This window comes from Homo sapiens, chromosome 17 (assembly GCF_000001405.40).
Source record: "Homo sapiens chromosome 17, GRCh38.p14 Primary Assembly".
Taxonomy (NCBI): Eukaryota; Metazoa; Chordata; class Mammalia; order Primates; family Hominidae; genus Homo; species Homo sapiens.
Window position 1 is genome coordinate 60,642,100 of NC_000017.11, and position 13,379 is coordinate 60,655,478.

At 39.4% G+C, this 13,379-nt stretch overlaps 1 protein-coding gene across 3 annotated transcripts in view, besides 1 other annotated feature; it reads left to right on the top strand.

The window, feature by feature from the left end:
- Positions 1-13,379, top strand: part of PPM1D (protein phosphatase, Mg2+/Mn2+ dependent 1D) — a 66,088-nt gene that overhangs the window by 41,907 nt on the left and 10,802 nt on the right. For all 3 annotated transcript variants that reach the window (XR_934577.3, XR_007065507.1, NM_003620.4), the window contains exon 4: positions 5,793-5,983. Coding sequence is in view for 1 of the 3 variants with exons in the window: in NM_003620.4 (NP_003611.1) it covers positions 5,793-5,983 (191 nt within the window). In the remaining 2 variants the exon portion in view is untranslated. The remainder of the gene's footprint in view (positions 1-5,792; positions 5,984-13,379) is intronic.
- Positions 10,453-10,502: a silencer, noted in NCBI's record as "silent region_8795". NCBI's record gives its function as "represses an Ori minimal core promoter by ATAC-STARR-seq in GM12878 lymphoblastoid cells {active_cell/tissue: GM12878}" and the evidence as "EXISTENCE:reporter gene assay evidence [ECO:0000049][PMID:35858748]".

Here is a 13,379-nt window from a genome sequence, read left to right on the forward strand (position 1 = left end):
ATCCTTACCAGTTATTTGATATTAGATAGAATCATATAGACTCTTTGAACTGGTAAAACAAGGGAAAGTGTCTATGAGTATGAATCATCTGGTGAGTTTGTTGAAAGGTCAGATTCTAGGGACTTTTACTAGCAAATTTGAAGCAACTTGAGCATCAAAACAAATTATAACAGGAATAAGTTAAAAAATATTGAATAAAAAAGAATCTGTAAGTCTATATAGAGATAAAAAATTGTACAGGTAGAAGAATGGATTTTTTTTTTTTTTTTTTTTTTTACATTTAAAGGAGTTTAATTGGGCAATGAACGATTTGTGAATTGGGTAGCCACCCCCGCCCACAGCAGATTCAGAGAGACTCCAAAGAAAATCTTTTTTTTTGAGATGGTGTCTTGCTCTGTCACCAGGCTGGAGTGCAGTGGCGCGATCTCGGCTCACTGCAACCTCTGGCTCCTGGGTTCAAGTGATTCTCCTGCCCGAGCCTCTCGAGTAGCTGGGACTACAGGCGTGTGCCACCATGCCCAGCTAATTTTTGTATTTCTAGTAGAGACTGGGTTTCACCATTTTGGCCAGGATGGTCTAAATCTCTTGACCTCGTGATCCACCAGCCTGGGCCTCCCAAAGTTTTGGGATTACAGGCGTGAGCCACTGCCTCCGGCCAGGAAACTCTTCTTTAAAAAAGATTTTCAGCCGGGCACGGTGGCTTATGCCTGTAATCCCAGCACTTTGGAAGGCCGAGGTGGGCGGATCACGAGGTCAGGAGATCCAGACCATCCTGGCTAACACAGTGAAACCCCCATCTCTACTAAAAATACAAAAACTTAGCCAGGCATGGTGGCGGGCGCCTTATAGTCCCACCTACTCGGGAGGCTGAGGCAGGAGAATGGCGTGAACCCAGGAGGCGAGATCACGCCACTGCACTCCAGCCTGGGCAACAGAGCGAGACTCCGTCTCAAAAGAAAAAAAAAAAAAAAAAGACTTTCAGGCCTGAGCACAGTGACTTATGTCTCTAATCCCAGCAGCCTGTAATCCTAGCACTTTGGGAGGCCGAGGTGGGTGGATCGCTTGAGCTCAGGAGTTCGAGATCAGCCTGGCCAATATGGCGAAACCCCATCTGTAGAAAAAAATACAAAAAAATTAGCCTAGCATGGTGGCACACACCTGTAGTCCCAGCTACTTGGAAGGCAGGTGAGAGAACTGCTTGAGCCTGGGAGGCGCAGGTTGCAGTGAGCCATGATCGCACCAATGCACTCCATCCTGGGCAATAGAGTAAGACCCAGTCTCAAAAAAAAGAAACCTTTTTGGGGTTGGGAAAGAAGAGCAAAAAGAACCAAAATAAAGTAAAATAAACTGTCAGCTAATAAATGTAGTTAGAATGTCCTAATTCTGTCATCAGTTTATAACCGTTATAATAATTGATTCATTCAGGAATCATCAGTAGATGCTAAAATATGGCATATTTTGGTACAGAACAGGATATTTCACAGAGCCTCAAACTTTCACCCTACAGACTACTCACCAGTTAAAAAAAGAAAAAGGCACCTTTATGCTGCCAGTAGATAGCACTTTAACCAAATGATGAAAGTCAATACTGCCAATAATAGGACTGACTGACACACTGTCTCTCCTCATGTGATATACGGAGAAGGACATGACATCAGCAATGTAGTCCTGTAGCCAAAAGTGAGTTTACCCGTTCATGAACCCCTGTAGAGCACGAGAACAAGAGGAAACAATCAGATGGATCCAATTTAAAGGTCATTGTGCAATAGAACTCTTTTCTTTTCTTTTTTTTTTTTTTTTTTTTTGAGATGGAGTCTCACTCTCGCCCAGGCTGGAGTGCAGTGGCATGATCCTGGCTCACTGCTATGTCCGCTTTCTGGGGTCAAGCAATTCTTCTGCCTCAGCCTCCCGAGTAGCTGGGATTACAGGCGCGTGCCACCCAGCTAATTTTGTATTTTTAGTAGAGCCGGGGTTTCACCGTGTTAGCCAGGCTGGTCTCCAACTGTTGACCTCAAGTGATCCACCTGCCTCGGCCTCCCAAAGTGCTGGGATTACAGGTGTGAGCCACCGTGCCTGGCAAAAGAACTATCTTGAACTCTTCACAGTTGTCAATACCATGAATGATAAAAACAAAACAAAACCCTAGGGAATTGTTTTAGGTTAAAAATGACTAAAAAATGACAAATGCAATTAACTTTTTAAAAAGTTTTTTTAAAAATAAAGATGGGGTTTCACTGTGTTGCCCCGGCTGGTCTCGAACTCCCAGGCTCAAGCAATCCTCCTGTCTCCACCTCCCAAAGTGCTGGGATTACAGGCATGAGCCACCTAACCTGACTGAAGAATGATCCTTGAATGGATCCTGGATATTAAAAATGCATTATTGTGACAACTGGGAAGATTTGAACATAAACTTTATATTATACAGTGCTATAGCAATATGAAATTGCCTGAGTGTGGTAGAATAACATCCTCATGCTTAGGAGATAAATGTTGAAGTATTACTGTTTGGAGGTGAAGTGTTTTGAGTCTGTAATCTAATCTCAGATGGTTCAGCAAATAACTAAAACCAGCTCTATCCACAGATTCCAACACTATCTGCATAAAAAATCCCAGATAATCTTCAAAAGAACTACTGGAATTAATAAGTGGAGTCAGCAAGTTCACAGGACCTAGATTTAGCATACACAGTCTATCATATTTTTATGTACTAAAAATGAACAATTCGTAATAAAATTTAAATAAGTATCATTTATAATCGCACCCAAGAAAACCATGAAATACTTAGGTATAATTGTAACAAACTGTGTTTAAGATTTATATGCGTGAAACTACAAAATGATGAAAGAAATCAAAGAAATAGAAATATACCACATATCTTAGTCAAAACCCAGAGTTTAAAAATTTAAGTTAGAAGAAACAATCCCTTCTTCTGAAAATGTATTGAGGTTTATTGAGAAAGAAATAGAGATTGAGGCTGGGCGTGGTGTCTAACGCCTGTAATCCTAGCACTTTGGGAAGCCTAGGTGTACAGATCACCTGAGGTCAGGAGTTCCAGACCAGCCTAGCCAACATGATGAAACCTCGTCTCTACTAAAAATACAAAAATTAGCCAGATGTGGTGGCGGGCACCTGTAATCCCAGCTACTCGGGAGGCTGAGGCAGGAGAATCACTTGAACCCAGGAGGCAGAGGTTGCAGTGAGCCAAGATCGTGCCATTGCACTCCAGCCTGGGCAACAAGAGCGAAACTCCATCTCAAAAAAAAGAAAAAGATATTGGAGACTAGTGATTTGGAAGTTGTCAGTAAAAGAGTTGGAAACTTGAAAGGATGGTTTCACCAAAGCAATGTAAAATATATATGTGTGTGTGTGTGTGTGTGTGTGTGTGTGTGTGTGTATGTGTATATATATATGTGTATATATATGTATATATATATGTGTATATATATGTATATATATGTGTGTGTATATATATGTATATATATATGTGTGTATATATATGTATATATATGTGTGTATATATATATGTATATGTATATGTGTGTGTGTGTATATATATATATACACACACACACATATACATATACATATGTAGGTAGGTAGATAGGTATCTCCAGAAAGATAAGAACATAAGAATAATAGTCCTTACAGGGAAAACTGGAAGGGCAGTGGTGAGAAGGGAGAATTTTCACTGTATATGTACCCTTTTATATCTTTTGGTTTTCATACTATGCGAATATATTACATAATATTATAAAAAGGCAGACCCAGTACCGTGGCTCATACTTGTAATCCCAGCACTTTGGGGAACCGAGGTGGGAGGATTGCTTGAATCCAGGACTTGGAGACCAGCCTGGACAACATAGTGGGACCGCCATCTCTACAAAAAATAAATTAGCTGGGCCTGTTGGTATACACCTATAGTCCCATCTACTTGAGAGGTTGACGTAGGAGGATCACTTGAGCCCAGGAGATCTATCCTGCAGTGAGCCATGATTGTGCCACTGTCCCCATGTTCATTTTTATTATTTCGTCAACCAGGGAGCTTTGTTTTGCTGGTATAAAGAGGTAAGTGTGTCTTTGTGAGCTTATCTGGATTATAATTAGCTTTTAGTGCTTGCATGTATTCTGTTTTGCTGCTCAGAGGGCTGAATTGCTTTTTGAAGAGTCTGGTTAGCAATGATTTTGCTACTTTCAAGTGGGAGTAATTGACTTGAATTATTCTTTCTTTGGACTCTGAGCATGTTTGAATTGCCAGTATTTCTGATGGGGAGCTAGTGGGGAAGTTTAAATAAAGAAAAGGACAAAGCTTCCTCTTGTTTAACAAAAAAACCAGACCTACTGAAAGGGGACAAAAATTGTTTAACCTCTTGTCTGAAAATCTTTTGCTTTTAATTTAGGCCTTTCCCTTAAATAGTTCACAATAAACAAAAGAGGCAGAAATTAATGTTTTCTCCTTTCTGTCTCCTCTTCCACATTTATTGGAAACAGAAGAAAAATTTATATTGTTTCATTTATGTTGTCTTATATATTACAGAAAAGTAGATGGTTTCTATAAATCATTTTTATTTTCTTCTGTTTTAGTTTTATTGATCTTTTTTATGGCCTGGGTCGACTAAAAGTTATTGTCTCTTGAACATTTTGATGTTTGTATCTAATAGGTCTAAAGGCAGAAGTTTAGGCATTGTTTTTATGTGGAGCTAATCAAGGAGAAGGATAAATGTAAGAGCTTTCTTTTTCCGGCTCAGTGAAAGGGAGAACTGTTGCTCTCCAAAGTTTGGTCATATGGTTGGTAAAGAGCATTACAATGCTCATTTTTATATTTTGAATTTTCTTGCAAGTGACTGGTACTTGTTCTGTAAGTTTTGATGTAGGTACTTTACTGATCTAGAGATTAACAGGAAGTTTGCAAACAGCCATTGGTACTTCTGTTTGTAGGATAAGTTCTCATCTTGTCCTTTTTCTTCAAAATTATCTTGATTAATCTTGGCCCTTTGCGCTTAGCCTGTCAAATTCTACAACAATCCTTTTGGGATTTTGGTTAGAATTACATTGACTTTGTAGATTATTTTGGGAATAATTGACATCTTTATTATAGTAAGTATTGCTATCTATGAATCTGATTGGTTACTTCATTTATTTAGATTATCTTTTTAATGTTTCAAAATAGAATCTATAATCTTCATAACAGGCATGTATACCGTTTGTTAAAGTTGTTCCTAAGTTCCTTACATTTGGTTCATTGTTAAAATTGGATTATTTAAACATTTATATTTTCTATGTCTTGCTATCATATAGAAATACGTTGACTTATATATTGGGTTTGTATTTAACAACTTTGCTAAACTTTTCTATTGTAATAATTTATTTTTGGTTTTCCATGTATAAATGAAATTATCTGCAAATAATATTAGTATTATTTTCTCCTTTCCATTTTGTATATACTTTATTTTTATTATCTTACTGTGCTGGGAAGGACTCAGTATAGTATTAGAAGAGAAGCAATGATACAAGGCATAGTTTTCTTATTTCTACATTTTAAAGGGAATACTTTTAACATTTTACCTTTAAGATGATTATTACAGAATTCTGGTGGATATACTTTATCAGGTTAAGGGAGTTCCCTTTTATTCTTAGTTTGCTAGGAAATCTTATCATGAGAGGAGTTTGAATGTTATCAAATGCTTTTCTGCGTCTATTGAGATGAACTGTGTAGATTTTCTCTTTTAATCTGTTGCTGTTGTACTATTAGCTTCCAACTAATACTTCTTGCTTTTTCTGCTCCCTTCCCCCAGGTGATTTGTGGAGCTATGATTTCTTCAGTGGTGAATTTGTGGTGTCACCTGAACCAGACACAAGTGTCCACACTCTTGACCCTCAGAAGCACAAGTATATTATATTGGGGAGTGATGGACTTTGGAATATGATTCCACCACAAGATGCCATCTCAATGTGCCAGGACCAAGAGGAGAAAAAATACCTGATGGTGAGATGTGATTGAATAACTTGATATTGTTGTCTAAACATTGTTTTGGTACTTCTGTCAGAATCTTGAATATGAACTAAGGACATTGACCTTGGGTAGATTTTTGCATTTGCCTTGATCTGCTAGTGGGTAAAACATAGGCTTTGTAGCTCCTAATCATTAGAGGAATGAGACAAGAAATATATAACCGAAGTCTAATAACAAAACACACAACCACTGACTTCAGTATAAATTGGCCTGTGAAACGTTGCTAATTCCTTATTTTTTTAAATGACATATAATTTCCATACCATAAAATTTATCGTTTTTTTTTTTTTTTTGAGACGGAGTCTTGCTCTGTCACCCAGGCTGGAGTGCAGTGGCACAATCTCGGCTCACTGCAAGCTCCGCCTCCTGAGTTCACGCCGTTCTCCTGCCTCAGCCTCCTGAGTAGCTGGGACTACAGGCGCCTGCCATCACACGCGGCTAATTTTTGTATTTTTAGTAGAGGTGGGGTTTCACCTTGTTAGCCAGGATGGTCTCGATCTGACCTCGTGATCCGCCTGCCTTGGCCTCCCAAAGTGCTGGGATTACAGGCGTGAGCCACTGCGCCCGGCCAAAATTTATCCTTTTAAAGTGTATAATTCAGTGATTCTTAGTGTAGTTCACAAAGTTGTACAACCATCACCACTACTACTTTTTTTTTTTTTTTTTCTGACTGTCTCAGTGTCTCGCTCTGTTACCGAGGCTGGAGTGCAGTGGCATGATCTCAGCTCACTCTAACCTCTGCCTCCTGGATTCAAGCGATTCTCCCACCTCAGCCTCCCGAGTAGCTGGGATTACAGGTGTGTGCCACCCCACCCAGCTAATTTTTTGTATTTTTAGTAGAGATGGGGTTTCATCATGTTGGCCAGGCAGGGCTCGAACTCCTGACCTGAGGTGATGCCTCAGCCCCACAAAGTGCTGGGATTTAAGGCATGAGCCACCGCACCCGGCCTCCATCACCACTACTTCTACTACTTTTTTTGTTTTTTTTTCCCCCCAAGAGATGAGGTGTCACTATGTTGCCCAGGCTGGTTTAGAACTCCTAGGCTTAAGCAGTCCTCTCACCTCAGCCTCCTGAGCAGCTGGGACTACTGTGGTGCCATGCCCAGCTCCTAATCTCAAAACATTTTCATCATCATCCCCTAACAGAGCACATGGAAGTATCTGGAATCAAAAATCCAAAGATGGGTTATCCTTAGAAAAGATGATCTTTCTCTCAGATGGCAGGAATAGTAAAGCTGTATTTTGAGGTGGAAGGAGGGGCAAATTGATTGAATTTTTGTTAAATTGCCTCCATTCATTCCGGGCGCAGTAGCTCACGCCTGTAATTCCAGCACTTTGGGAGGCTGAGGCGGGTGGATCACCCAAGGTCAGGAGTTAAGAGACCAGCCTGGCCAACATGATGAAACCCCACCTCTACTAAAAATACAAAATTAGCTGGGTGTGGTGGCACTCGCCTATAGTCCCAGCTACTTAGGAGGCTGAGGCAGGAGAATCTCTTGAACCCAGGAGGCAGAGGTCGCAGTGAGCCAAGATCATGCCATTGCACTCCAGCCTGGGCAATAAGAACGAAACTCTGTCTCAAAAAAAAAAATTGCCTCCATTCATTCACTCAATTAACATACTAGGTACTAGGTACAGGGATTGCAAAGGTAAATAGAATATGGTCCTTCCTCAGCACTTACCATATTATTATAAATAGAATATATAAAAAACTAACAATCCCATTAGATCATGAGTTCTTTTAAGGTGAGAGTCATCTTGATTCAGTTTTACATGTTCAGGGCCTGGTGTGTTGCATTTAGTTGGAGATTATCATGTATCAAAGAGTAACATAAAGACTCTTCTGTCTAATGGATTTAGAATTCTTTAATGATCTGAGAGAGATCATTTCAATGGCATAAAGACAAAAACCAGTTTGTAGTGCATTGGAAGAACCTATTTATGAACCATAAAGTGTTTTAAGATGAGTATTGAAGGAAGCATCCGTATAATGTATAATTAGAACAAGTCTTATGAGACCTGGAAGAGTGAGACGATAGAAAACTTCACAAGACTGCATAGGAAGCTTCATGGAAGAGAGTGATATTTGAGCAAGAAAATTTGCAGGCTTAATCTAAGGCAGCAGTGGTTTTTGGAAAAAACACAAAGAAATACATGTAGGCCGGGCGCAGTGGCTCAAGCCTGTAATCCCAGCACTTTGGGAGGCCAAGGCAGGTGGATCACTTGAGGTCAGGAGTTCGAGACCGGCCTGGCCAACATGGTGAAACCCCATCTCTACTAAAAATACAAAAATCAGCCAGACGTGGTGACTCGCACCTGTAATCCCAGTTACTCAGGAGGCTGATGCAGGAGAATTGCTTGAACCCAGGAGGCAGAGGTTGCAGTGAGCTGAGATCGTGCCACTGCACTCCAGCCTGGTGACAGAGCGAGACTCCATCTCAAAACAACAACAACAACAACAACAACAAAAAACACAAATACATAAGTAGTAGAATTGACAGCTCTTATGTTTATAAGGAGGAAGAATATGATGACACCTAAATTTCTAACTCTGGTGACTAGTAAGCTGTTATAAAGAAGAGACATTATTTAGGGAGAGATGGGGGAGGTAATTAGTTCAGACATAGGCATGTTGAGTTGAGGTACCTGTGGTTCATCTAGATAGATATCTTCAGTAGGCAGTTATAAATATTTGAGAGAGAGGGGTGGCATGCTCCTATAGTCCCAGCTACTCAGGAGGCTGTGGGAGGATTGCTTAACCCCAGGAGTTCAAGGCTGTAGGGCTCTATGATTGTACTTGTTAATAGCCACTGCACTCCAGCCTGGACAACATAGTGAGACCCTCATCTCTTTAAAAATAAAAACTTGGGAGGGAAGCGTGGAAATACTAATTTAACAGTTAACAAGAGTTGCGTAAATTGTGGCAATATATGCACTTAGAGAGACTCTGTGGTTTAAGAGCACACAATATTAGGGGGACTCAAGTCAGCAGAATTCTAGTGAGCTGAGGGAAAAATATACAGGTAAGATAGTGGAAAATGGTTTATATAATTGTTTTCATAGAGCATTGATGGGAAGGGAAACAGGCACACTGAAAAAGTGAGAGGTAAGGGCTCAGTCAGCTGGTGTTTGGAGAGTGGAACCACATGCCGTAGGGAATGTGATAGATTCATGAATTAGAGATTAATGCTGCCTTTAATCAATTCTGAGGTGCATATTTTCTTTTAATATCTCTGAAATTGGAATACTTTTTACAAATGGTATATCACAGTTCAATTAACAGTGTTTTTGGTTTTTTTTTTTTTTTGAGATGTAATCTCGCTGTGTTGCCAGGCTGGAGTGCAGTGGCGCGATCTCAGCTCACTGCAACCTCTGCCTCCCAGGTTCAAGCGATTCCCCTGCCTCAGCCTCCCGAGTAGCTGGGACTACAGGCGCGCGCCACCATGCCTGGCTAATTTTTTTTATTTTAGTAGAGACGGGGTTTCACCACATTGGCCAGGATGATCTCCATCTCCTGACCTCATGATCCACCCACCTCGGCCTCCCAAAGTGCTGGGATTACAGGTGTGAACCACCATGCCAAGCCACCACGCCCAGCCGACAGTGTTTTTTATTTCGTTTGTGGCACATAAAATGATGCATCCATAACACAAGGCTCATGGTATTCTACATGAAGAAAACAATCTAAGTGATCCAGTCAGAGTTACAAAAAAGAATATCATAGTAAAACCCCTCAAAGTAGGAGGTTGAAAATAATAGAGCAGAAATTAATTATTTAGGGAGATTCACAAAACCCAGAAGGGCAGTCTTTTAAGAAGACACATAAGGCATGATTGATTGTTTCTAGTTCAAGAGAAAAGCACAAAAAAGTTTGAGTGGACATAACTACACTTAAAAATAGAGATTTTTAAAACACACTTTAAAAAATTCGAAGTATACTATACATATGACATTTACTATTTGTACTATTTGAAATTGTACAATTCAATAGTAAAAAATCCATTTATATTCTTTTTTTCCACCCTTCATCTCTCTCTCCCTACTACCCTTCCTGGCTTCTTGTAACCACAATTCTACTCTCTCTCTTTGTGAGATCTACTCTTTTAGCTGCCACATATGAGTGAGATCATGTCTTTCTGTGCTTGGATTATTTCATTTAGCATAATGTCCTCCAGTTCCATCCCTGTTGCTGCAAATGACAAGATTTCATTCTTTTCTATGGCCGAATACTATTTCATTGTGTATGTGTATATACACCACATTTTCTTTATCCATTCATGTATTAAATGGAATTGACGTAGGATGATTCCATATTTGGACTGTTGTGAATAGTGCTGCAATAAACATGGGAGTGCAGATATACCTTCAGTGTATTGATTTTCTTTCTGTTGGATATATGTATAGTAGTGGAATTGTTGGATCATATGGTAGTTTACTTCTGTTTTTTTTTTTTTTTTTTTTTTTTTGAGGAACCTTCATACTGTTCTTCGTAGTGGCTGCTCTAATTTACATTCCCACTAACACTGAGGGTTCCCCTTTCTGCACATCCTCACCAGCATCTGTAGTTGCCTATCTTTTTGATGCAAGTGGTTTTAACTGGAGTGAGATGATACCTCATTGTGGTTTTGATTTGCATTTCTCTGATGATTAGTGATGTTGAGCATTTTTTCATATATCTGTTAATCATTTGTATGTCTTTTGAGAAATGTGTATTTTAGATCTTTTGCCCATTTTAAAATTGGATTATTTGGGGCTTGTTTTGTTTTGTTGCTACTGATTTGAGCTCCTTACATGTTGTTAATTCCTTGTCAGATGGATAGTTTGCAGATGTTTTATCCCATTCTGTGGGTTCTCTCTTCACTTTGTTGATTGTTTCCTTTGCATTTTAGCTTGTATTTTCATTTGTCTATTTTTGCTTTGGTTGCCAGTGCTTTTGAGGTCTCATGCAAAAATTATTTGCCCAGAACAGTGTCCTGGAGCGTTTCTCCAATGTTGTTTTCTTCTAGTAGTTTCATAGTTTGTGAGATCAAAGTAGATCTCACAGAGGGAATAGAATTGTGGTTACCAATTCTACTAATTGAGATCTTAGATTTAAGTCATTAATCCATTTTGATTTGATTTTTGTGTGTGATGAGAGATAGGGGTATAGTTTCATTCTTCAGCATATAGTTATCCAGTTTTCCCCCTACCATTTATTGTTGCTCTTGGCACCTTTGTTGAAGATGAGCTGGCTGCAAATTGCGTGGATTTATACATAGGTTTTCTGTTCTGTTCCATTGGTCTATGTGTCTGTTTTTGTAGCAGTACCATGCTATTTTGGTTACTGTAGCCCTCTAGTATAGTTTTGAAGTCAGGTAGTGTGATGCCTCCAGCTTTGTTCTTTTGGCTTAGAATTGCTTTGGCTATTCAGGATATTTTGTGGTTTCATATGAATTCTGAGCTTAAAGAAAAAATTATGTGAAGAATGTCATTTCAATTTTGATAGGGATTGAATCTTTAAATTGCTTTGGGTAGTATTGTCATGTTAACAATATTAATCCATCCAATCCATAAGCATGGACTACCTTTGTATCTTTTTGTGTCCTCTTCAATTTCTTTCATCAGTATTTTCTAGTTTTCCTTTATAGATCTTTCACATCTTTGGTTAAATTGATTACTAGGCATTTTATAATTTGTGTACCTATTGGAAATAGGATTGCTTTCTTGATTTCTTTTTCAGATTGTTTGCTGTTGGTATATGTAAATGCTGCTGATTTTTGTATGTTCATCTTGTATCCTGCAGTTTCACTGAATTTATCAGCTCTAACAGTTTTTTGGTGGCGTCTTTAGGTTTTTGTAGGTATGAGATCATGTTACCTGCAAACAAGGCTCATTTGACTTATTCGTTTCCAGTTTGGTTACCCTTTATTTCTTTCTCTTGCCTAATTGCTCTGGCCGGGACTTCCAGTATTGTATTGAATAACAGTAAGTGAGAGTGGGGCATCCTTGTCTGTTTCAGTCCTTAGAGGAAAGACCTTCAATTTTTTTCCCCATTCAGTATTGATGTTGGCTGTGAGTTTGTCATTTTGAGGTATATTTCTACTATACTTATTTTTGTTGGGTTTTTATCATAAAGTGATGTTCAATTTTACGAAATGCTTTTTCAGTGTCTATTGAAATAATATGCTTTTTTTTTTTGAGAGAGAGAGTCTCACTCTGTCACCCAGGCTGGGAGCACAGTGGTGCGATCCCGGCTCACTGCAGCCTCCACCTCCTGGGCTGAACTGATTCTCCCACCTCAGCCTCCCAAGCAGCTGAGGTGGGAGGATCACTTGAGCCCAGGAGGTGGAGACTGCAGTAAGCCGAGGTCACACCACTGCATTCCAGCCTGGGTGACAGAGTGAGACCCTGTCTCAAAAAACAACAAACAAAATTTTCCACTCATTTTCATTAGTCATTTATTTCTATGGGTACTTTTAATACATGCAGGCAGCCGGGCACGGCGGTTCACACCTGTAATTCCAGAACTTTGGGAGGCCGAGGCAGGCAGATCACCTAAGATTAGGAGTTCAAGACCAGCCTGGCCAACGTGGTGAAACCCCGTCTCTACTAAAAATACAAAAAAAAAATTTAGCTGGGCATGGTGGCAGGTGCCTGTAATCCCAGCTACTTGGGAGGCTGAGGCAGGAGAATCACTTGAACCTGGGAGGCGGAAGTTGCAGTGAGCCGAGGTCTTGCCATTGCACTCCAGCCTGGGCGACAAGAGCAAAACTCCATCTCAAAAAAAAAAAAAAGAAAGAAAAGAAAAGAAAGAAAAAAATACATGTAGGCTTATTTCCTGGAGTACATCATTTTCACTTTTGTTCTGTGAAACCTAGCAGATTTTAAATTCATATATGACACTGGAAGTTTTATTCCAAGCCACATTTATTTGCATAAAATGAGATCCTTTTGGTTTTGTTTTCTTTACTCGTTCAATTGGTATATATTTGTTCTTTATACTATAAGCAGTTATTGTATTACTTTTTCCTCATATGAGTGACATTGACTGTTTATATATATATATGAGCTGTTTATATTTCCTTTTCTCTGGATTTTGTTTATATTCTTTGACAATTTTTATGTTGAGTCATTTTCTTCGATTTGCAGAATCTCTTATGTTAGAAGGAATTTGACCCTTTGCAATGATTTTTTTTTGTACCATGCCTGATTGTCTTGTTTGTGAATTATGTTTTCTTAAATAACTTGATGTTTACTTCTTGTTGTTGTTGTTGTTTTGAGACGGAGTCTCGCTCTGTCGCCCAGGCGGGAGTGCAGTGGCGTGATCTCGGCTCACTGTAACCTCCGCCTCCCAGGTTCAAGCAATTCTCCTGTCTCAGCCTCCCAAGTA